General features: G+C 44.2%; 1 protein-coding gene across 6 annotated transcripts, besides 7 other annotated features; it reads right to left on the bottom strand.

Moving 5' to 3' along the window:
- PRNP (prion protein (Kanno blood group)) lies at nt 3711-18843 on the bottom strand. 6 transcript variants are annotated; one of them, NM_001271561.3, is made up of 2 exons: nt 18791-18843; nt 3711-6088 (listed from the first exon to the last, which is right to left on the bottom strand). In NM_001271561.3, exon 2 carries the CDS (start codon nt 5987-5989, stop codon nt 5768-5770), a length of 222 nt encoding a protein of 73 aa, NP_001258490.1. In that variant the 5' UTR covers nt 5990-6088; nt 18791-18843; the 3' UTR covers nt 3711-5767. The 6 variants fall into 5 exon arrangements, with proteins under 6 accessions (NP_001073592.1, NP_000302.1, NP_001073590.1 ...); NM_001080123.3 differs by having other exon boundaries at nt 18563-18843; NM_000311.5 differs by having other exon boundaries at nt 18787-18843.
- Nucleotides 4990-6226: a silencer, noted in NCBI's record as "fragment chr20:4679719-4680955 (GRCh37/hg19 assembly coordinates)". NCBI's record gives its function as "represses an EF-1alpha promoter that drives an FKBP-Casp9 reporter gene in an ReSE screen in phorbol 12-myristate 13-acetate-treated (for megakaryocytic differentiation) K562 erythroleukemia cells {active_cell/tissue: K562(+PMA)}" and the evidence as "EXISTENCE:reporter gene assay evidence [ECO:0000049][PMID:32094911]".
- Nucleotides 17165-18104: an enhancer, noted in NCBI's record as "H3K27ac hESC enhancer chr20:4667841-4668780 (GRCh37/hg19 assembly coordinates)". NCBI's record gives its function as "activates a minimal SCP1, AML or CMV promoter by ChIP-STARR-seq in naive H9 embryonic stem cells {active_cell/tissue: H9 hESC(naive)}" and the evidence as "EXISTENCE:reporter gene assay evidence [ECO:0000049][PMID:30033119]".
- Nucleotides 17165-18189: a biological region, named in NCBI's record as "H3K27ac hESC enhancer GRCh37_chr20:4667841-4668780".
- Nucleotides 17950-18189: a silencer, noted in NCBI's record as "silent region_12645". NCBI's record gives its function as "represses an Ori minimal core promoter by ATAC-STARR-seq in GM12878 lymphoblastoid cells {active_cell/tissue: GM12878}" and the evidence as "EXISTENCE:reporter gene assay evidence [ECO:0000049][PMID:35858748]".
- Nucleotides 18105-19046: an enhancer, noted in NCBI's record as "H3K27ac hESC enhancer chr20:4666899-4667840 (GRCh37/hg19 assembly coordinates)". NCBI's record gives its function as "activates a minimal SCP1, AML or CMV promoter by ChIP-STARR-seq in naive H9 embryonic stem cells {active_cell/tissue: H9 hESC(naive)}" and the evidence as "EXISTENCE:reporter gene assay evidence [ECO:0000049][PMID:30033119]".
- Nucleotides 18250-18409: a silencer, noted in NCBI's record as "silent region_12644". NCBI's record gives its function as "represses an Ori minimal core promoter by ATAC-STARR-seq in GM12878 lymphoblastoid cells {active_cell/tissue: GM12878}" and the evidence as "EXISTENCE:reporter gene assay evidence [ECO:0000049][PMID:35858748]".
- Nucleotides 18420-19019: a silencer, noted in NCBI's record as "silent region_12643". NCBI's record gives its function as "represses an Ori minimal core promoter by ATAC-STARR-seq in GM12878 lymphoblastoid cells {active_cell/tissue: GM12878}" and the evidence as "EXISTENCE:reporter gene assay evidence [ECO:0000049][PMID:35858748]".

Below are 24704 nucleotides of genomic sequence, written 5' to 3'. Positions count from 1 at the left end.
AAGACTCCCCTGCCGGGTGCCTGAGCCCCAGTGCCTCCCGAAGCTCTTGGCCAGGGTTAGAACAGCTCTCCAAGATGACCTGGACCTCTAGGTCCTTGTTTCTCAGAGAGCGGTCCTTGCACCAGCAGCATTGCATCACCTGGAAGCTTCTAGAACTGCAGAATCTCTGAGCTCACCTCAGAGCTACAGCCTCAGAACCCACATTTTAATAAGATCCTCAGGTGGTTCATGTGTACATCTGAATCTGAGAAGTGCTGTTTTCAAGTGACTGGGCACCATTTCCAAGTTTAACTATATCTCTCACTAAGGGTGGGCTTCAGGCCTCGGCTGTGCTTCACTATTTTCAGACGGCAGGAGTTAGTCACCTCCTTGCACCTCCATTGGCATTCACCCATAGAGCTCCCAGCTCTCTCTTCCTCCCAGGCAGGATCCCCAGGCTCTCATTCCCCCGGCAGGTGTCTGGTCTCCACAGCAGCTTTGTGAGTATTTCAGGGTTGGGGCGGCTTCTGCTTCTTTTGCATCTGCCGAGCAGTGGTTTCCATGTGACCTCTCCGCACCAGCAGCATCAGTATCACCTGGGAATTTGTTAGAAATGCAAATTCTCAGACCCCACCCTGGTACTAGGGAATCAGAAACTCTGGGGATGGGGTTCAGCCATCTGTGTATAACAAGCCCTCCAGAGGTTTCTGACGCAGACTCCGGCGTGGGAACCCGCGGAGCCTTGTTACAATGCCGACCACAGGACGGGCACAGCGTCACCCAGCAGCATGTTAGAAACACAGACCTACAGTCAGGACCTGCAGATTCAAGTGCACATTCAAGTTCCAGGAGCCCTGCTGCAGGCAGAGAAGGGAGGGGTAGTTCTACAGAAGCACAGGCAAGGCACGTGGACCAGCTGCAGCTTTCCTGAAGAACATGGGTGGGACTCAAAGAACGGAACAAAGGATGGACATAACGCGGTTATTAGTTCAGGATGAGCTGAGTCCTAGGGGAGGAGCCCCCCAGCCAGGAGGAAGTCACCTTTCTGGGGTGAAAATGAAGCGCAGAATGCTTAGATCAGTCGGCAAGGTCAGGCCTTGCCTGGAGAAGCTCAGGTTCCGGCTGGGATTAAGGCTCCCCTTAGAGTGGGAAGCTGTACAGACCCAGATTTCCCTCCAAAGACAGACCCCTTTTGGTCTTAGCCCCAGATGGGGAGGGGGAAAAACAAGGGCAGCGCCTGGCTGTTCTCCGAATAACCCTTTCTGGGGGATTGAACTCAATTATGTTTATGCTGGTCATTTTAAATTTTTTTCTTTTCCTTTTTAGTAAAAATTCCTTTTGCATGACTCACACGTTTGAAATAACAAAGGAAACATGAGGCCTGGGAAAGATACAGGTGGATATTATTCACTCTGGTCCTACAAGTAGCTATGCTTCGAACACTTTAAGTCTCCTCAGTTGACTCTTTTTGAGAAATTATTATAGGCAGGTAATGAAAAGTTTATTTTATTTTATTTTTTTGAGACGGAGTTTCGCTCTTACCGCCAGGCTGGAGTGCAATGGCGGGATCTCGGCTCACTGCAGCCTCTGCCTCCCGGTTATAAGCGATTCTCCTGCCTCAGCCTCCTGAGTAGCTGGGATTACAGGCACGTGCGACCACACCCAGCTAATTTTTTGTAATTTTAGTAGGGAATGGGGGTTTCACCATGTTGGCCAGGCTGGTCTTGAACTCCTGACCTCAAGTGATCTGCCTGCCTCGGCCTCCCAAAGTGCAGGGATTACAGGCGTGAGCAACTGTGCCTGGCCGAGAATTGTATTTGTCATTCTTTCTGTTTTAGTAGTTTTGTGGGTGATGATTGGTATCTTTCCATCTTTAATACAAAGCTGATCCTCTGATCACCGTAGGAGGTTGGCATTATATTGTAAATTTTTAAAAACTTCATATTTTCCTGATACCTTGACATCCTACAAATAGGCAGTGGGCACCCTGTCCAGGTAACCAGGTGCCAGTGTAATAAGGCTGGTCCCTGCCACAAGTTCCACTTCTTGTCTTCCCCTGACTGTGACTTAGTGACATTCAAACACACCAGTGAGATCCCCTTACACCTTGTGCTTGTGTCCTCCATCCTGGCTCCCAGTAAAGGCACTTGCCCAGGAGTTCTCTCTCTTTCTGTCTCATACACGCTGAGTTGCACCCAATCCCTGGGCACGCCTCCAATCCAGCCCCCTGCTTGGCATGACATGCCTCCCTCTCTAGGACCTATGAGTACAATAATTTCAAGTGCCTCTCCCCTAGAGTTTCCCTAGCCAGGCTGGAGTGATCCTTGAAGACCCCACCAGAGGCACTTCCCCATTTACAACACAGACGTTTGCTAAGATATTGGCCTGTGATTTCAACCACTGTCACTTCTGATTACCCCCTGCCTTTAGCAAATTAGTTGCAGGAGAAAACTTCTGCCAAGGATAACCAAGAACATCACAGTGCTGGTGCGTCGAAACATGTAGAGAATGAGTTGGAAGATTATGACAAATCAAAGTCACCTTTCAGATCAAAGGTATTGAATCTGAGAAGAGTGTGTCACTAAGGCTCACAGGACCTGAGACTATTTTAGAGCCTGATTTGGGGTGCATAAAGCAGGCACAGGTGACCCTTGAACACCACGGGTTGGAACTGAGTCCACGAGACACAGATTTTCTTCTGCCTCTGCCACCCAGGAGACAGCAAGACCAACCCCTCCCCTTCCTCCTCAGCCTTCCTCAATGTGAGGAAGATGAGATGAAGATCTTTATGATGATCCACTTCCAGTCAGTGAATAGTAAATATACTTTTCCTTCCTCATTGTTTTAACAACATTTTCTCTAACTTACTTTATGGTAAGAATACAGTATATAGTATATATGACATGTGAAATATGTGCTAACCAACTGTTTACGTTATTGGTAAGGCTTCCAGCCAACAGCAGGCAATTAATCTATTAGCAATTAAGTTTTGGGGGAGTTAAAAGTTCTATGCAGGCCGGGCGCGGTGGCTCATGCTTGTAATCCTAGCACTTTGGGTGGCTGAGGCGAGCAGATCACTTGAGGCCGAGTTTGAGAACAGCCTGGCCAATATGGTGAAACTCCATCTCTACTAAAAATACAAAAATTAGCCGGGCATGGTGGCATATGCCTGTAGTCCCAGCTACTCAGGAGGCTGAGGCAGGAGAATCGCCTGAACCCGGGAGGCGGAGGTTGCAGTGAGCCGAGATCCCGCCACTGCACTCCAGCCTGGGCGACAGAGCGAGACTCCGTCTCAAAAAAAACAAAACAAAACAAAAAAAACTTCTCTGCAGATTTTCGACTGTGCGGCAGGTCAGTGCCTCTAATCCCTGTGTAGTTCAAGGGTCAACAGTTCTTTAGAGCTTGTTAATTTTCATTTTAATCAAGAAAATCTATTTCTAAATCCAGGACTGAAAAAAGCTCCCAGACTGTTCCTCCTGCTGCAATAGTGCCTTTGCAGTTTACCAGTGCTAAGCCCACTTAGATGCTTGTGGAGAAAATGCAAAAGCCGCAGAGATGAACTAGTGGGTGACTGGGAAGTGAGGACAAGGGCAGGAACAGGGGGAAGTGCGTGAACCATCGGCCATCACTTGAGAAGGGAGGACAGAAAGCGCCACTTGGCTCAGATTAACCCCCAAAACAGTCCCCAACACAGGGCAAGCACCAGGAAATACAACTGCAGACACGGGAGGTGGTGCTCATCTTCGCTCGTTTAATTTCAGTCAGATATTAAACATTTACAATTTTTTTATATAACAAAACAAGAACATGCAAAGTTACAAATATAGAAAATATAAAGTACATGCATATTTCAAAGACCTGTTAATGGTGTCCACTTTGGATTCTTACATGAAACGATTCAGTGCACATTGTAAGCCTAAGGACCACGCAAAAGGGTTTCCCACATATTAAGTATTCAGTACCTTACAAAAGTTAATGCATTAGACACTTCAGATGTTAACTGCTCTAAACAAAACTCCTAAGTCTGTCCTATGCAATATATATTTTATATACATATATATTTTTACATAGAATACTCACAAAGTGCAAGCCAATAATAACATTGCAGAAAAGTAATACATATCTGCTAGGTGACAATATCAAACAATTCAGGGAATAATTTTACTTTAATTAACATTAACAGAATTTCTTTTTCCACTTCAAATCAATCATATTTCTGTCATCTCCAACCTAAGATATTTTTTAGATTGTCTCCCTATTCTTTGATTCAAAAGCCAATTACAGAAACTATGAACTTGACCTAATTCTGGTTTTTGACAATTATGAGACAGAAATAAAGAAATGCAAGCAGTTCTTTTCTTTGCACACTGACCATTTTTTAATTACATCATCCTCTATGATGATGGTGCTTTCACAACTGCAGCTCTCCTGTATGTCAAAATCATTCTGGTTTCCAGGTAAATGGACAAAGGAGATTTGCCTTCAGTGTCTAGAAGGCAATTTACTTTTCAGCTGCCTTAATTACCTATAGTTTAAAGAAAGGAATGCCACATATAGGGTCCTTTAAACATCTAAAATGGGAGGTTGCCTCCAAGGGCACCATTCCCAAACATTTGATTTCAAGTCCCAGAAGCCTTTCATATATGTTACAGTTATGTTCACTGTGAATATGTCCTCTAGCCAGAGGTTCAGTGTTGTGACAATATTTACTCTTGTTGAACAGCTGCTGTGTAGCCCATACTGTGAAAAGTAAAACATCACCCCAGTTCTCGGTACACACAGAGCTCATGCTCCAGCGGGCTGAGCCTGCATCCCAAGAGCTAAGAATCTCTAGGATTTTTTTGAATAAGTATCATGTGGCCTCCTAACAAACCTGGCAGAAATGTTGTCGGGTTTTCTTAAAATGGAAAATATCTCTAAATAGCTATGAAATCTCTACTAAGATAGGGCATTAGTATACTGAGCTCTAGCTGCTGAAGGAGCCAGAGGTATCCAGGCAAAGGTATTTCAGACTGTTCTGAGATTTGTTTTAGCCTCAACCTGTTGCACTAAGTCCAAAAATAAGTCCAGATTAACCAATGGTTATTTGCTGTTATACTTTTACTGGCCTGGCATTAGCAACGGCTCATGATGAACTCAATCAAAGGGGGCTTGACCAGCATCTCAGGTCTACTCTATGTTTTCCAGTGCCCATCAGTGCCAAGGGTATTGATTAGCCTATCCGGGACAAAGAGAGAAGAAAGAGTGAGACACCACCACTAAAAGGGCTGCAGGTGGATACCGCCTCCCTCAAGCTGGAAAAAGATTAGAAAGATGGTGAAAACAGGAAGACCTTCCTCATCCCACTATCAGGAAGATGAGGAAAGAGATCAGGAGGATCACAGGTGGAGAGGAGAAGAGGACCATGCTCGATCCTCTCTGGTAATAGGCCTGAGATTCCCTCTCGTACTGGGTGATACACATCTGCTCAACCACGCGCTCCATCATCTTAACGTCGGTCTCGGTGAAGTTCTCCCCCTTGGTGGTTGTGGTGACCGTGTGCTGCTTGATTGTGATATTGACGCAGTCGTGCACAAAGTTGTTCTGGTTGCTGTACTCATCCATGGGCCTGTAGTACACTTGGTTGGGGTAACGGTGCATGTTTTCACGATAGTAACGGTCCTCATAGTCACTGCCGAAATGTATGATGGGCCTGCTCATGGCACTTCCCAGCATGTAGCCGCCAAGGCCCCCCACCACTGCCCCAGCTGCTGCAGCACCAGCCATGTGCTTCATGTTGGTTTTTGGCTTACTCGGCTTGTTCCACTGACTGTGGGTGCCACCTCCTTGACCCCAGCCACCACCATGAGGCTGTCCCCAGCCACCACCATGGGGCTGCCCCCAGCCACCACCATGAGGCTGCCCCCAGCCACCACCATGAGGCTGCCCCCAGCCACCACCGCCCTGAGGTGGGTAGCGGTTGCCTCCAGGGCTGCCCTGCCCCGGGTATCGGCTGCCCCCAGTGTTCCATCCTCCAGGCTTCGGGCGCTTCTTGCAGAGGCCCAGGTCACTCCATGTGGCCACAAAGAGAACCAGCATCCAGCAGCCAAGGTTCGCCATAATGACTGCTCTGCAAAATGAAGAGGAGAACGTCAGAGTCCCATATTTATGTTGAAATTACTAAATGTTTCCTGCATAATGAATGAGTGCATAGCAATGGTATCAGCTGCTCAGTAGAAACACTGTTGCCACCCTGTACTTCTCTGAAGCACTTAGGACAAAAGCAAAAGTAAGAAAAGGGTGAACACAACTCTTTCTCCTGCTCCAAGGACAAATGTGACCCTAAGTTATGGACTTGATGAATGACTTTTAGTTCATTATTTAACATTTTATGAGTGAATTATTTTCTTCTAATTTTTGTACCAAAACAACAAACAGATCAAACATCCAGAATGACAATTTATGACCCTTTGGAGAATGTACATTCATCAAATCAAAAATCTCTTTTCAAATTAAAGATCTCATTTACCCTGGGCACTTAGCTCCAAGAGCAGAGACCTATGACAATAGTAAAATGATTGCTAAACAGTACCTGCTGTACCCTAGGTCAAATCATAGGCTCCAAATCATCACTGTGTGCCGTAAAACCTATAATGGCATATACTGGAACACTGAAGTTAGTCTTGTCCTCAGTGCTGGGATGATCTGCAATTGTTTTTCTCTCTCTCTTTCTCCTTTTTTATTTTTATTTTTTAAAAAAACAATACCCAGCTTGTTGAGATATAATTCACATACCATATAATTCACCATATACCATGTACAGTTCAATGGTTTTTAGTACATTTAATGAAACGTGCAACCGAAACTGTTGCCAATTTTAGAACATTTTTGTGAACTCAGAAACCCCTTACCTTTATCACCCAATTAGCTGCAAATTTTTCTAAAAATTAGAAAATTATTTTTCATCTCCTTCAGAGCTAATGATTAAACTGGATAATATTCATAAAAAGAATTACCAAATAAATAAATTAACATCCTGTTTATGTTTCTACTAACATTATTGAAATGGGAAGTTTTGCCTTGGTGGTCATAAGCAAATCAAAATATATTTGAAAGTTACAAGCAGAGTTAAAGTACTCAGGTCATGCCAGTTAGGGTTTTTGGAGGCTCTTTTAGGTGGGGGTCTGTGGTGCAGGTTCTTTGCAGGCCTGCTTCCCTGATGTAGTCCCCACAATCTCGTGAGGCCCAGCTCTTGGCCTCCCTGCTACTCATACACCCCAGGAAATCAAACTAGGGCACCATCCCCTCAGTCAGTAGCTTTCAGTCTAAAGGGCTTTTATGTCAGCACCTTCTCCATTCGCTGCAATGGGTGACAAATCCAGCCAATGCTCTAGAGTGACTGAATTTTCTCTCCCAGCATACATTGGATCTATCAGCAAATCTCAGTAGCTCTACCTTGAAAATCAATGCTAAGCACCTCAGCTTCTCAATTTTTCCAACATGACCATCTTATTCGGTGCTTCCATCACTTCTCACCTGATTTCTTCAACAGCCTCCCAACCAGCCTCCCTGCTCCTCCCCTGGCTGCCATTGAGCGCTCTCCTCTTAATATGCGGGTCACATCATGCCACTTCCCTTGTCCCTCAGTGAGGCTCCTTTGTACTCTGGATAAAACACAAAGTCGTGGCCATACTGGCTGGGCCCCATGTAACCTGGTTCAGGCCTCCCACTGCTCCTCAAACTGACAAGCCCATCCTGTCTCAGGGCTGTTGCACTTGCTGTTCCCTGGTCCTAGAAGGCTTTTCTTCCAGCTACTCATGTGGCTAAAGTTTGCTCAGTGGGGCTGTTCCCATCACTCTACCTAAAACAGCACCCCCTAGCCCACCCCCTTTCCTGGCTTCATTATTCTCTGGAGCAGTTACAGCTACTTGAGATATTATGTTATTTCCTCTGTGCTTATTATTCATGTTCTCCACGGGAGTGCAGGCTCCTTTAGGGCGGGAGTTTGGTTTTGTTCACAGCAGTGTTCCTAGACAGAGCGCTTGACCCATAGACATGCAAAATAAATGCTGGATAAATGAATGAATGGGAAAACACATGTTATAAAGCATAAGGAATAATCAAACTAAATACTAAATATTTATAATGGATATACAAAGAGAACCATATTTATAAATTTACAAAATAGTATTTTTGACAATGGCCAGCTAACATTTTCAATTCAGTTAAATAAACATTTATTTCATGTGCCAGCTACTGCAGTAGACTCTGGCTGGCTGGAGATATTACCTGAAATGGGTAAGATGGGAGGAAGAGGAGACTGCAGGGAATGACACTGAGTCGGGCTTTGAATGTGCCTCATTTAAAGCTGTAAGAGTTAAGGATCTATGAGCTCTTAGAGACACCTGAACAGGCGAGGACATGGCATAGTGAGAGAAGCACAGAGGAGAAGAACCAGGCACAGAAGGTGGGTGAGGCCAGACAACTTTGGAGTGGAGATGGGTGGTGAGAGAGGACACTGGCATGTCTGGGGGCCTATACATCTAAGATACTCTCTGTCACCAGTCAAGTAGTGGCCTAGTCCTCTGGCATATTTCAAGATATCCTATTAAGTATATGGTAATGGTCAATACCTGTTTATTACTAAGAAGAATGCTAAGAATACACTCAGAAATACAACAGGGACATCCATTGTCATGGGACTCAAGGTGCTGTCCAAGGCCATATGCAAAGAAGTAACAGGTGTAAGAATGGCAAGGAAAGTGCTCTAGCTGACACTATTTGCAATTAGTGTGATCATGCACATAGAAAATCCAACAGAATAACAGGGATAACATGAGAACCAACGCTAGAGTGCAAGGTTGTGGGACTGAAGGTCAGCCTACGAAAACCAACGGCATTCCTCTACAGTAGCAATAACTGACCAGAAGAAAATACAGATATTCAAAGTAACAACCAAACTGTAAAGCGTCTAGGAATTGACTTAACTAAGAAAAGACTTCTGATGGGTGACACATTATACAGAGAACACAGAAGATGGTCTGAAAAAAATGGAGAGGCATTCCATGGTCTTGATGGCGATAACTCAGTATTATAAAGATGTCCATTATCCTAAATGAACTGGTAGTTGCAATAAAATGCCAGTTAAAATTCCAGGTAATCTCAATTTTTTGAGAAGTTCAGTAAACTTCTATGGGGAAGAAAATGTCCATGAATAATAAGGTCAACCTTAAAAAAAAAGTGTAAAGAGGAGGGAATCTGCCAAAGCAGACATGAAATCACTACAAAACCACAGTGACGAAGACTGGACGGTAAAGCTCAGGAATAGACGGAGAGACCAAAGGAAACAGAAAAGCAAGTTGAGAGAGAAACCCACGTAGATACACTTTAACAGGGACTTGATGTGTGCTGACATGGGCACCACGAACCAATAAAGGAGGAAGGTTTCATGCTTCTGGGAAACAAGAAAAAGAAAACTAGATCCCTAACTACATACAAAAGTGAACTCTAGATGGATCCAAGACTTACATGTGAAAGGTACAAGTTTGGCGCTAGAAGAGGAAAATATTGGGAAATGTCTTTGTGACCTGGAGGAGGAATGGGGGAAGAACTTTTTAAACAAAAAGCACAAACCATAAGGCAAATAATTGATGAATTTGATTACATCCTCAAAAACCTAAAGACGGAAATATCATTCGACTCAGCAATCCCATTACTAGGTATATACCCAAAGGAATATAAATCATCCTATTACAAAGACACATGCACGTGTATGTTCATTGCAAAACTATCCACAATAGCAAAGACATGGAATCAACCTAAATGCCCATCAGTGATAGCTGGGATAATGAAAGTGTGGTACATATATGCTATCGAATACTATGCAGCCCCAGAAAAGAACGAGATCATGTTCTTTGCAGGGATATGCAAACTGACACAGGAACAGAAAACCCAATTCTACATGTTCTCATTTATAAGTGGGACCTAAATGATAAGAACACATGGACGCATGCAGAGGAACAACACATACTAGGGCCTATCGGAGGGCTAAGGGAGGGAGAGGATCAGGAAAAATAACTAATGGGTACTAGGCTTAGTACCTGAGTGATGAAATAATCTGTATGACAAACCCCCATGACACGAGTTTACCTATGGAACAAACCTGCACTTGTACCCTTGAACTTAAAAATTAAAAAAAAAAATTAAAATGTAAAGATTCTTGTTCAGCACGATAAAGCTGACTCTGGACAAAGTTAATAGAAAGAGTACACAATGGTAAAGGGGACTTTAGTACTTAAAATCAACAGAGGATTCATTTCTAGAACTTGCAAGGAATTCTTACAGAGCAGTAAGAGACAGTAATTCCAACAGAAAAAAATGGCCAAAAGATATAACTGATCATTTACCTAAGAAAGAAAACCAAAAGGATAGAAAAAGAGAATCAAAATCATTAAGAATATAATAAAAATGAAAAAAAATGATATAACACTTAACGCTTATCAGGATAGCACAAAAAAAATCTTTTAAAGAAGTTGAAAAATGTGAGGATTTGGAACCTGCATGGCTATCAGAGGAACATGGATAATACAACTGAATAGAAGAAGTAAAATAAAGTAAATGATTATTCAACTCAAAAGGAAGAAAACAGAAAACTTCAAAATAAACTGTCATAAATTAATAATAGAGATGAAAATCGAATTTAATAAATAAAACCCACAAAAATGTGGAATTTCTAAATAAAATTAAGAGTTATTTGAAAATGTAACATACACACATCACTAGAAAACATATCTCTATAAGGGGAAATAGGCTTAGAGAATGCTTTAAAAGGTTAATAAATTACTTTATGCAACTTTCCTTAATGAATAAAAATATCTCTGAGATGGATTGTCTTTCTATTAAGATGTAAATTATAAAAATCAACTTTAGAATTAATTCATTTAAGAAATATTTATGGAATAACTAGTATGTGCCAGTTTCTTTTTGTTGTTGTTTCTTTTCTGGTAGAGATGGGGTCTTGCTATGTTGCCCAGGCTCGCCTCAAACTTCTGGGCTCAAGAGATCTTCCTGTCTTGGCCTCCCAAAGTGCTGAGATTACAGGTGTGAGCCACCATGCCCAGCCAGTATGTGTCAGCTTAAAAAAAAAAATAGAAGGCTAGAACTGACCAATAACCATAGAAGAAATGGAGAAAAAAAGCTGTCAAAAATTATACACTGTAATATAATATTTACAGTACCATAACCTTTTTTTTTTTTTCTTGAGACAGGGTCTTACCCAGGCCAAAGTGTAGTGGCATGATCTCAGCTCTCTGCAACCTCCACCCAGTGGGCTCAAGTGATCCTCCTGAGTAGCTGGGACCACAGGTATGCAACACCACGCCTGGTTTTTTTTTTTTTTGTATTTTTAATAGTGATGGGGTCTTGCCATGTTGCCCAGGCTGGTCTCAAATTCCTGGGCTCAACCAATCTGCAGGCCTCAGCCTCCCAAAGTGCTGGGATTATAGGTGTGAGCCACAGCTATATATAGGTGACCCACAACACATTATTGTGCCACCAAGCCTGGCACAATAATTTATTGATTAGCTTAACACACATTTCAAGTGTCAGAATTCTAAGGGTCAAGAATTGTGCTAGGGGCTGAGGACACAGTTTTGAATAAGATACTTAGCTTGGTGGGCTTAAGGACCAAAAAGGAGATCAAATCTGTGGAGCCCCATGAGACAGTGGCAGGTGGACTGCTAAGACTAGGGAGGTGGTGAGGGTCAGATCATGAGGGCCTCATGGTCCACAGAGAGAAATTTCTATTTTCCTCTGAAAGCAGTGGGGAGCCATTAAAGGGTCTTAGTAGGACAGTAACATCATAGAATGTTTTTTCAAAAGCTCAGCTCAAGCCTATAATCCCAGCACTTTGGGAAGCTCAGGCAGGAGGATTGCTTGAGCCCAGGAGTTTGAGACCAGCCTGGGCAACATGGTGAAACCCCATGTCTACAAAACATTTTTTCTTAAATAGAAGAAAATTTAGTGGGACAAGAAAGGGAATGGAGAGGCCAGTTAAGAAACTGCTGCAGGAAGATGGTGGCGTGGCCTGGGATGGAGTCCATGCAGCTAGCAGGCTGTGAATAAATGAGACATATTTTACAGAAAGAGCCAATAAGACCTGCTGGTTGAGTGGATGGAGGAGTGAGAGTTGCCCGGGTCTGGGACTTCCATAACCAGGGAGATGGCGGTGATGCCATCTACTGAAATAGGACAAACTGGTGGAGGGTCATGCCTGGGAGAGAAAACCAAGAGTTTCAGTATAGACATGTAAACTTTGCCACACCTATGAGACATTCAAGTGGGAGTATCAATTTAAGCAATTGTTATAGGAATCTGTAACTCAGTAGAGATAAACATTTGGGCGTCTTCACCTGAGATGTAGTGTTTAGAGCCAATGGGATAAAGGGTCAAAATTCAATGCTAGTACACAGGTGGGCACACTTAGCCACCCTGCCATGGCACCCTCCTCTCACACAGGTGCCAAAATCTAAAAAAACAGCACCCAACTTATTTTAACAGTTTAGTAAAAGAAGAATACATTATGACCAATATGGATTATTTTAGGAATACAAGAATGGTTGAAAATCAGGAGCTCTATTAATAGGTTAGGAAGAAAAGATTTTCTTCAGATGTTGAAAAGTTTTCAATGAAAATCAATATCATTCCTAAATTTTTAAAAATGTAAGCTATTTTTAAAACGTTTCTATAGAACTGGAAGGATAGTCTCTTTCCATCATAAAGAAATGCTGTCACAAACACAAAGCCCAAGATATCATAATTTTAAGAGGAAAGGCATTCCCATTAATGTGGTGAACAATAATCTATTGCTTTTATGCTATTAGGTTGTTCTATAAATTCATCTAGGTATAATTTTTTTACCTGGAAAATCTCAAAAAATGTCTTAGAATAAATACATGAGCTCAACAGGGTGGTAGTTTTTCAAATCAACAAATCAAAACTCAGTGAGTCCCTAAATCAGCTGTAGTTAAACATTTCATGGGGAAAAACATTCATTCATAATGGCAGTAAGAATTGAAAATATCTAGGATTTAACCTGAAAATAAGTAGTAGGCAAGCTACAAAATTTTACTGAGACATAAAAGAAGACTGGAAAAAGAGAAAGACATACAATGTTTTTTGTTTGGGAAACCAATATTGAAAGATACCAAGTCACCAGCAAATAATCTACAAAGTAAACACAATTTCAGTCAGAATTCAAAGGTAATTTTATAACCCCCTGTTTGCTTTGGATCTCTTAGATTTTTGGACGGGAGATTTAGAAAGAAAATAAATAAGGAGGCATCAGACTTACACTTCACTTAGACCAAATGGATCCAAACAGACAAATACAGGACATTCCATCCAACAGCTGCAGAATACACATTCTTCTCAACAGCACATGGAGCATGCTCCAAGACAGATCATATGTTAGGCCATAAAACAAGTCTTAACAAACTTAATTAGACTGAAATCGTATCAAGTTTTTTTTCTAAGCATGATGGTATAAAACTAGAAATTAATAACAGGAGAAACCAGCATTATCCTGATGTCAAAGTCCCACAAAAACACACAAGAAAATGGCAGTATAGGCCAATATCCCTGATGAACATAGGTGCAAAAATTCTTAACAAAATTCTAGCGAAGCAAATTCAACAGCTCATTAAAAAGATCATTTACTATGATACAGTGGGATTCATCCCAGGGCTGCAAGGATGGTTCAACATACACAAATCAATAAGTGTGATACATCACAGTAACAGAGTGAGACAATAACCATACGATCATTTCAATAGATGCAGAAAAAGCGTTTGACAAAATTCAACATTCTTTCATGATAAAAACTCTCAATGAATTAGGTGTAGAAGCATTGTACCTCAACACAATAAAGGCCACATATGACAAGGTCACAGCTAACATCATACTTAATGGTGAAAAATTGAGAGCTTTTCCTCTTAGATCTGAAACGAGACAAAGATGCCACCTTCACCCAATTTTAGGATTGTTTTTTCTATTTCTGTGAAGAATGTCATTGGTATTTTGATAGGGATTCTATGGAATCTGTAGGTCACTTTGGGTAGTATGGACATTTTAACAACATTAATTATCCCCCCATGAGCACAGGCTATCTTTCTATTTGTGTCTCCTTGAATTTCTTTCATCAGTGTTTTATAGTTTTCAGTGTAGAGATCTTTCACCTTCTTGGCTAAATTTATTCTGAAATATTTATTTTGTAGCTATTGTAAATGGCACTTTCTTTTTATTTCTTTCCTGATAGTTCACTGTTGGCATATAGAAACACTACTGATTTTTGTATGTTAATTTTGTATCCTGCAACTTTACTGAATTTATTAGTTCTAATGGTTTTCTGGTGGAGTCTTTAGGGTTTTATAAGTGTAAAATCATGTCGTCTCCAAATAGGAACAATTTAACTTTTTCCTTTCAAATTTGGATGCTTTTTATTTCTTTCTCTTGTCTAACTGTCCTGGCTAGGACTTGCAGTACCATATGTTGAATAGAACTAGTGCGTGTGAGCATTCTTGTCTTGTTTCAGATCTTAGAGGAAAAGATCTCTTTCTAATTTTGTACACAATACATATAATCTTATCTGTCAAAGAAAAAATAAATAAATTTGAAAAAGAATTCAAAAGAGATTTTAAAAGACATTATGAAATTATACTCAAAACTTAAAAGACTGAAGAAAATTTTTAATGAGAAGATAATCAAGGGTGCACTTGACCTGCCAGGTGTCAGAGTGCAAAGCTACAATAAGATCACATGGCATTGGTGCATGAGCAGAATGGCAAAACAGCGGAACTAGAGAGAGGGTACTAAAAAATCTATAAATTACCCCGTTCATCTTATTCCCATTTATAGATGGGGAGTGAGAGTCAGAGCTAGTAAGAACTTATCCCAAGGTTGTAAGAGTCCAAGGTGTTGGAGCTGAGATCCAAATATAGGCACTAAAGCCTTCTAGCCCATAAAACACATTACAACTTGAAGCTTAATTAGTTACATCGGGAAGGGGCAAATGTCAAACAACCCCCGACCTTCACCCCATAATGTCCCTTGTCTCTTCTGAGCTAAGTAAATTCCCTTGTTATATTTTAATTTTCTGAGGTTCATAAAGAACTTGATGTAAGCTGAAAAAAATTTTGCACAAAAATTGGGGGTAGGGGTTTCTCACTGGCACCTAGAAACCACAAACTGAACAGAGCAAAGGGTCCCCAACCTGGTCCATGATCAGAATTACCTGAGGAGCTTTTAAAAAACAACATTGCTGGAACCCATCACAAGCCAGTCAGAGAGTGCCTAGCGATGGGATTTGGGAATCTATAAAAGCTTCTCAGGGAATTGGCACCCGTGATCAGGCTTCAGTGCTAGGTCCTCAGGGGTCTAATCTTCAACATTTATAATGCTTTTCACTGAAGGATTACCTCCCTTAAAGTGATCACACAATACTGTAACAGTTTAAGTAGAATGCAGTTGGAGAAAAAGGAATGGTTAACACATCGACAAAAAAAATTCTCCTAGCTGTGAGAATTGCTGCACACACTATTCACTTAGGAGTTATTTTATAATGCTGTAGCCATCACTGGGTTAGATACAGACATGTTTTGAATGTTTAATATGCAGCAGTTCACAGTGGATATAGTTGCCTTGGAAGAAGAAATAAGATCTGAAAAGGGAGAATGGACGAAGTAAGTTAAAACTGAAGTTCAGAGAATCTTTCACCTTGGTTTGGCTAGTTGGTTGACAGCCATGTTCAGTGTCAGTGTGGTGCAGAAACTTCTGTTATGTTATTATTGTTATTTGATTACATTATTTTTAAAATGGCTGCTCCCTTACATAATTCAGCATAATTCTAAAAATCTGTGGCCATTTCTCTGCAAAATTAAGCTGATTTTACAAGAAATGATGATGCAATGAGGTGTCAGTCACACAGATGCACCCGAGTGGCCTCTGGATCAAGAGCTTGTGATCACAGCCTTTCCTGACCCTCATTTTCTGTGACATTTGGTGACTTTCAACCTTCCTAAGACCACAGAGGTTCTGCAGGATATGTACAATCTGTTGTGGTTCAGCTAAACTAGATTTGTGCCTCCAGGAAGACGGAAAGCTCAGACATGGCTGAAATTGTTCAGTTTTGAAAAATATTCAGGAGTCCTTAAAAACAACAACAAAAAACTAGAATTGATAAATGAATCTAAGAACTGATTCTTAAAAAAACCCAATACACAAATTACTAAATCATTAATCAACTAAAAAAATGGAAAAATATTTGAAAAAGGAAACAACGTTGGCTAAAAATCTTTTATTCTAAGTAGCAAATATAACAATCTCTCCTTTCTCTTACAGAAAACTGTGGGTCCATTTCATCTAAAAAATTAAAACCTGTGAACTATTTTTTAAACGCCCTTAGTGAGAGCAATATATTCACCAAAGGAAAATTAAGATCACCGACAATTTCAATGAAAACGTCCATTTTCTGTGCTTTTCCTTTCAGATTTTTCACATATGCGTTCACGTTAGAGTAAGCAGGTGCAGTTAATAACCCACTTTTTTACTTGTCAGTTTTTCCCCACATATCACAGGCTCCAAAATCATGATTTTTAGTGGTTACATAATGTTCATTTCAGTTAATGTGTCATAATTTTCTTAGCTACTGCCCTGGTGTTATACATTTAGGCTCTTTTCCAGGTGTTCTAATTTTAGATCATTCTGCTAGGAATACATGCCTGTTTTTGTTTGTTTGTTTCTTCCATTGCAGGTAAGTTCTCAGGAGTGGGGTTTCTGGGTCACAGCTTCCAGCTTCTTAATGCATCACCAGATTGCTTAACAAAATGTTTGTCACTGGTTCGAAATGCCCCCAATAACTCATACATACAGACGCAGAAAGTAGCTATCATTTCCTCCATTCTATGAATGGACAAAAGGAGGATCAGGAAATTAGGTAGCCTGTCCAAGGTCACAAAATTGACTGCAGAACCATCTTTGTGACCCCAAAGCCCTGCCACCTCCCCAGACACTTGAAAATGCCAAGTTTTGGGCAACCTTCCAGCAAGGGTTGCTGTTACTATTAATTATTTTGGTTATTTTAATAGATGTAAAATGATAACCCAAACATGCTCTAATTTGCATTTTATTGTGTAAATGACTCATCATTTTGCCATTTATCTATTATAATCTTAATATTTTCCTTTCGGTGTGGAAGACTTGTGTTAGATATAAATAACATACAAATCACATCCTACCCCTCTGCCTGCTTTTCCCCTTACTGGTTAGCTTTTTTTCACTGTAAGACCTTCTCTGTGTTTGTGTAAGTAAAATTGCTCCTTTCCACTGGTGATTTTTTCCTTTCTTCTACAAATCTAAGAGCGTTGTTGATTTTTCCAGAAGTTTAACATATTTATCCAATTCCCTGTTCCTATGTTTTTGATAATTATATTTGTAAAAATCCTTAATCCTATTCTACCAGGAGTTTTCCCTAAGGAAACGGGAAACACTTCAAATCATATGGGGAACTGCTAATTAAACCGTGATGCTCTCAGAACAAGAAAATAACGCGGCCATGAAGATCCTCATCATTACAGCAGTGAAACTGCACTGTGTTGTGTGAGAATCTGGAGGCTAGGAAACAAAAACGGAGAGCTGTGGCTCTGCGATGGCGAGGATGGATGTGACCGTGGTGGAATTGCGAGGTTAAAAAAAAAATCTATTTCCTACAGCCACCTCAAAGAGAAGAGCAAAAAATTCCTTAAAAAGGACAGTAAACATGGATTTCTCCCCATTGTTTAATAATGAAACGTGAAGGCGCCTGCCGCACAGGTGGGGAGACCGGTGACCCAAGGGTCGTCATCCGAGGCTGGTTGTTCCTTGGAGCCCCCCATGGCCAGCGTTCTCCCTCCAGGGGGACTGGGAGGAATGTGACTGGCCAAGCTGGGGTCCGCCATCGCACCTGGGGCCAGGCCGCAGACCTGCAGCTCCTCTCTCCCCGCCCCTGGAGAACAGAGGGTGGGGCCTCCCCGGACCCCGCCCCCGCCGAGGCCCGAGGCCCCGCCCCCGCCCGTCAGTCCGCGTGGGCCGCTTCTCCAGGCGGTGGCAACGGCCGCAAGGCTGCAGCCCCCCTCGGAGAAGCTCAGGCGGCGAGGATGAAGGGCTGGGCCGCCTCCCGGGAGGAACGCTGCAGCTGCGGCGGGAGGCACCGAGGCTCCCGGAACTCCCCCGGCGGGCGCCCCTCTCTCCATCCCCCCAAGCACCCTCTGGGCATCGCGGAAGCGCCAGGCCTTGCCAAGGGGCGTTCTGGGCCCCGATCTCGGCCTCCGAGGGGCGGCCAACGGGCGGGGAGCGCGAGCCCCGCGGCCCCCAGGCGCCCCTCCCCGCCCCGCGCCCTGCGGAGCCCGCTGGCGGCCCTCCCGGAGTTCCCTGGGCGCCAGCGATCGCCCGCTGGGCCGGACCCGCGCGGGGTGCAGGGGGCGCTGAGACACCCCGGCGCCACCGACCTCCCTAACGGGGCTCCGCCAGCTCCCCCAGCCCCCCAACGCGCAGTAAAGGGAGCTTTCCTAACCTGAAAAGCGAAGCCAAGCCGCCTCACCCGAGCGGAGACCAGCGCAGCCGGGCAGGCCCGAGACGCGTCACGCGCCCGCGGGGCAGCCCCCGGCCCCTCCTCACTGGGGTCCCGACCCCGCCCGGCCGGGCACCCTTGCGCCTGGGACCCGAGGCCCGGGGTCCTCACTCGGCCCCCGCGGCTCCCCTGCCCCCGCCCGCGTTCCTCCCACCCCGGGCGTTTACCTGCCTCGGTCGTGAGGAGAGGAGAAGCTCGCGGCGCCGCGGCTGTCAGCGACTGGCTCGGAGGACAGGCGACGCGCGGGGCCGAGGGGGAGGGACGCGGGGCGGGGAAGGGAAGCGGCGGCGCTCGCGGGCGGAGGTCGGCGCGGGGACCAATTGCCGCGCGGCCCGGCGCACACTCTGTGCCCCCGGCGGGCGGCCGGCCGAGGTTTAAGTTAAAGGGTGCAGCGCTGCCAAGCAGGGCCGGGAATGAGTCACCGGAAAAAACGAGTTGAGATTCGCTTGAACACTTGCATCAGTTGATACCGCCTGCGGGTGCCATCGCTCCCTGACGTGGCTCATTGACTGTAAAAATCATCTTTAATTGGAAATTCGGCCCAAAGCTCCAGCTCCCCGTTACATAATGGAGAAATCGAGAAAATGAAAGGCTCAGGAATGAGGAAGCAATTTCTGGAACTTTGGCAACCAGAAATTTCTAAAGAGGAGAGCAAAAAATTTTGCTTAACCTGGATTGAGATTAATATTTATGAATTTTCACATAAACTCTTAAATTTTGAGGCGTAGAAAGGACACTGACCATCACCTGTTCCTTCCTTCATTCACTTTCTACTCCTTGTTTTAGGCAAGAGATGATTTAGGTGGTGATATTAACAAATGAGAAAAATGCGCTCCGTTTAAAAACCCGTGTTTGCACATTACCTGAGATATCTTCTATGAAACAGGGTGGTGTGTTCTTGCGCAGGATTCCTGCTGACAACTGTCTCATTTTAAAGGAGAGCGAAGGATGAAGTGATAGAAGGACAGGATTTAGAGGGAGGGGGATCTTATAAATTATTACCCAAATTGGGCACTTTTAAAGTGAAATGGGCGTAAACCAGGCATGCCCTGGGGAAAATAGGACATCTAGTCTCCTAGTTTTGGGTGAGAGGTTTAGGAAGCATGTAAGGAAAGAGATTTAAGAATGTTGACAGCCAGGTGCAGTGGCTCAGGCCTGTAATCCCAGCACTTTCAGAGGCCAAGGCAGGAAGATTGCTTGAGCTCAGGAGTTTGAGACCAGAGTGAGCAACATAGTGAGACCCCATTTCTACAAAAAATAAAAAAAATTGCTGGGAACGGTGGCACAGTCCTGTAGTCCCAGCTACTGGGGAGGCTGAGATGGGAGGATTGCTTGAGCCCAGGAGGTAGAGGCTGCAGTGAGCTTTAATTGTGCCACTGCACTCCAGCCTGGGCCACAGGGCTATAGGCCAAGACCCTGTCTCACTCTTTGTCTCTTTACAAAAAAAAAAAAAAAAGCTGAGGCTGCATTGTAAACATATGTGCATCAAATATTTGCATCTCAGGACCAATCACTGTCACTCAAGTTGCAGGGGAGGGGTACAAATGGCGAGAGACAGGAGAAGCCAGGAGAATGCACAGAGGAGAGCTGCTGTAAACAGTGCCTGGGCCATGTTTATGTGAGTGTGGGTGAGCACTTGAAAGGTCTGCTGGGAAAGGGCAACCAGGAGGCCTGGAAAGCGCCGCCTTTGGAGGGAGCTGACTCAGTGCAACAGGGAGGACTGGATTGTGGCCAGTTAGAATGAGCACTAGGCAGCGAGGCCATTTTACAACCTATCAGTGTTATGTAATGCTTAGGTTGACATCGCATTCAGAGCCTTACCTCCTTTCCTCAGAGATGGCTCACTGGGAGATGAATTCAGCGGGCAGCACAGTGTCTCTTTGAGTCTCCTAGAGGCTCAGGGCCTGCAGGGAGGACAGAGCTGGGTGGGAGGACAGAGCTGGGGTGGGGCTGGAAGTAGGTGACCAGATCAGCCTAGGCAAGGGGCTGGCTGCCCACTGGCAGAAGGCGCTCTGTGAAGCTTGGTTCCAAGACGCTAAAACCCATCTTTTCCTCAAAAGAATTGTATTTTCTGGTCGACTGCTTTCCTCCCATCAGGAAAGGGCTCAAATGGCCTGGGATTTCTTGGAGGGAAAGAACTAGGGAACCAAAGGGGATTGACTTATGACCTATTCTGGTTATTACTGATGTGCTGCAAATACCCCACAACTTAGGTGGTTTAAAACAACTACCATTTTATTATGCCAATGGATTGTTTAAGCCAGGGAGCTGGACAGGCACAGCGGGGACTTGATTCTGCCCCATTATGTTTGGGGTGTCAGTTGAGAAGACTCTAAGTCTAGGGGTACCTTGATAGCCGGGGGTTGCAGTCATCTGAAGCCTATGCACTTGCCTGAGTGGCACCTGGGCTAGGAGGACTTGAAGATCAGATGTGCTGATTGCGGTGCCTAGCTGCGGCTTCTCTGTGTGGCCTGGTTTCCTCATGGTCTGGTGGTCTCGGCTTGGATGAACTTCTTACATGTTGGCTCAGGACTCCAAGTGTGAGAGTTTCAGCAAACAAGAAGCTGCAATGCCACTTCCTGCCTGGGCTCAGTAGTCAGGTAGCATCACTTCCACTGTATGCTGTTGACGTAACAGTTATATAGCCCCATTGCCGGGCGCGGTGGCTCATGCCTGTAATCCCAGCACTTTGGGAGGCCGAGGCCCATGGATTACTTGAGGTCAGGAGTTCAAGACCAGCCTGGGCAACATGGTGAAACCCCGTCTCCATTAAAAATACAAAAATTAGCCAGGCATGGTGATGCGCACCTGTAATCTCAGCTACTCAGGAGGGTGAGGCAGGAGAATCGCTTGAACCCGGGAGGCAGAGGTTGCAGTGAGCCAAGATGGCACCATTGCACTTCAGCCTGGGCGACAGAGCGAGACTCTGTCTCAGAAAAGAAAAAAAAAAAGTCATATAGCCCCCAGATTCAAGGACAGAGGACATGGAGCCCACTCCTCAATGGGAAGAGTATCAAAGACCTTGTTGCCAGTTTTAAAAGCTGCCACAATGGGGTTGATGGTCTGGCCTATGGATTCTTAGAGGTTTTTATTGACCTTATGAACCACTCCAAGGGTGGGCAACCCACAGGAAGTGGCTATTCAAATGGCCCTGCATAATTCCTCATTCCAAACTCACTCCCATTGCCTCTCCCATGACCACAACCACCCATATCTCACTATAAACAGTGAAAGTCGTTTTCCGGACTGGGTGGGGAGTGGGGTGTAGGGTTTGTCCTTGGAGGTCAAACCCTACTGTGTTTGCCCACAGAGCCCTATTGTGCTGAGGTTCACAGCATCATCAAGTCATTCTTTGGAAGTCTCCCTTCCCATCTCCTGTGTCCTGGCTGAAAGTGATTTGACCACATCATATAGATCCTCCTCAGCAAGTAAGGAGAAACTAAAGAAGTTAGACTCTAAATTCATCTTCTCACAAAAGGAGAATTATTTCCTCCACTTTATTGAGCACTTAGTGTGAATTAAATAGTTACAGTCTCTGACTTCAGACCTCAAAGAGGATACAGGAAGCCATACAGACAGTGACCATAGGGCCTGACAGCCCATGACAGATGTTTGGGTTTTAATAATTAAATATGATAGGAAGCCCTTGAAGATTTAAGAAGGGGAATGATGCGACATGATTTACCTTCTTCTTTTTTTTTAGATAGGGTCTCACTCTGTTGCCCAGGCTGGAGTGCCGTGGGGTGATCTCGGCTCACTACAACCTCTGCCTCCTGGGCTTAAGCTATCCTCTTACCTCAGTCTTCTGAGTAGCTGGGACCACAGGCGTGAGCCACCATGCCTGGCTGATTTTTGTATTTGTTTTAGAGACGGGGGTCTCACTATGTTGTCCAGGTTGGTTTTGAACTCTTGAGCTCAAGCAATCTGCTTATCTCGGCCTCTCAAATTGCTGGGATCACAGGTGTGAGCCACCATGCTTAGCCTGATTTACCTTCTTAAAAGTCCACTCTGGTTGTTTTGTGGGCATGAGCAGTACCTGGCTGGAGGCTTTTGCAGTGGGCTGGGGAGAGAAAATTGTGGCTTGGCCTATAGTGGTAATAGAGGACAGATTCATGACAATTTAGAGATAGACCCTCTAGATATACTATTGCTAATAGGGTAAGGAGTTGGGGAAAAGGAGGACTCGTGGATGACTTAAGTTTTTTTAATAAACAGCTGGGGGAATGGTGGAGCTATTTTCTTAAATGGAAAAAAATGGATGGCGACCAGATTTTAGAGGGAACATCTGGAGTTCCTTCCTTCCATTTGGACATGTTGAATTTGAGATGGCTGTGTAATCCCCAGATGGGTGCTGAAGATACACATTTAGAAGCTGTCAGAGTATAGATGATTTCCAGTCACGGGCTTAGATGACATCATCATGGGAGAAAATGTAGCCAGGGAAGAGAAAGGAATCAGGATTTCGTAATGAGGAATGCCCACAGTTTCGGATTAGTCCTTCTCAGTCTCTAGTGTGCATCACCTGGAAGACTTGGCTAAAACACAGATTGCTGCCTCGCCCCTCCCGGACCAGAGATTTGATTCAGCAGGTCTGGGATGGGGTCCAGGAACCTGCATTTCTAACAAGTGCCTAGGTGATGCTGATGCTGCTGGGCCAGAGACCACACTTTGAACCAGAGGAAGAGACTGAAAAGGGACAGCCAGTGAAATAAGAGGGTTCTGGAAGCTGAGAGGAGGGTGTTTCAAGAAGGCAGAGCCAGCTACTGAGAGGCCAAGTCATGTGAAGACAGGATAGTGCTCACTGGATTTGGTGACGTGGAGGTTTTTGGGGACTTGAGGAGAGCAGTTTCAATGGATTAATGGGGGCAGAAGCAAATTGAAGAGGGAATGGAAGGTGAGGGAGTAGCGACAACATTTCTGAGTTTTACCCTGCGGGGAGCAGAGGAGTGGGCAGGAGCTGGAGGAGAGGGTGGGCGCTGGAAAGGGTGTTTTGAATACTGGAGGATCCTCTTCGGGTCAGGGTACATTCAATGGTATATTTATATCTTCACAGACCTCGTTTCTTCCCTGTTTCCACTCTGCCCTACCCAAGCTGGTGTTGACAGCTGTAGCAATTTGAGGCATCACATGGCATAGCACTTCAGACAGAGGAAGAAAACAGCTAATCTGTTTGTATGGTCTTCTCTTAGGCGTTAGGAACATTTTCTCTAAAGATGTGAATCATGAATTTAAGGAGAAACTATTGCACAGTTGCTGCAGAATGGTTCCTGTCTCCCCACCCTTTAAAAGCATTCAATGCTTCCTTAATGGCTAGATTTCAGTGCCTGCAGTTAATGTTTACAGTCAAGGTATCTGTGAAACATTTCCAGTGATGCCTCTTTCTCTCTCTCTCTCTTTCTCTTTGCATTTCCCTGGGCGAAGCCCTGCAGGACCACTTGTCCTCCTTTAATTGCCTTGCTGAAGGTCTGCTTGAGTAGTTCTCTCAGCCCTGAATTTCTTGACCCTGCTTCTCTTCTGTGGAGTTCTGGCTCTGATGCATCCTTTTCTCTGAAATCCTTCCATATCTTCCCATCAGAAGTCAGCCTCCTTCCTTCTAGCTCCAGCAGCAACTGGCTTGTATCATCCAGTCCCATTTTAAACTGCTTTATTATTTAAAAATTTATTATTGGCCTGGTGAAGTGGCTCACGCCTATAGTCCCAGCACTTTGGGAGGCCGAGGCGGGTGGATCACCTAAGGTCAAGAGTTCAAGAACAGCCTGGCCAACATGGTGAAACCCTGTCTCTACTAAAAATACAAAAATTAGCTGGGCGTGGTGGTGCATGCCTGTAGTCCCAGCTACTAAGGAGGCTGAGGCAGGAGAATCGCTTGAACCCAGGAGGCGGAGGTTGCAGTGAGCCAAGATTGTGCCACTGCACTCCAGCCTGGGTGACAGAGCAAGACTCCATCTCAAAAAAAAAAAATTATTATTTAAAGCCCTTTTGGTCTTTAACTGGACTATAAATTCCTTGGGAGATGACTCCTAGTGCTTTGCCCGGGAAAATCAGTTAAATGGTATCCTGAATATGGGGCAACCTCTCCCATCCA

The sequence above is a fragment of the Homo sapiens genome, chromosome 20 (assembly GCF_000001405.40).
Source record: "Homo sapiens chromosome 20, GRCh38.p14 Primary Assembly".
Classification (NCBI taxonomy): Eukaryota; Metazoa; Chordata; class Mammalia; order Primates; family Hominidae; genus Homo; species Homo sapiens.
Note: the sequence above shows the minus strand (reverse complement) of the source record. Positions and strands in the feature narration are given on the sequence as shown.

What these genes read in the sequence shown, in the direction of transcription:
- PRNP (NM_001080123.3), bottom strand. Translation starts at nt 6,078, where the DNA reads ATGGCGAACCTTGGCTGCTGGATGCTGGTTCTCTTTGTGGCCACATGG.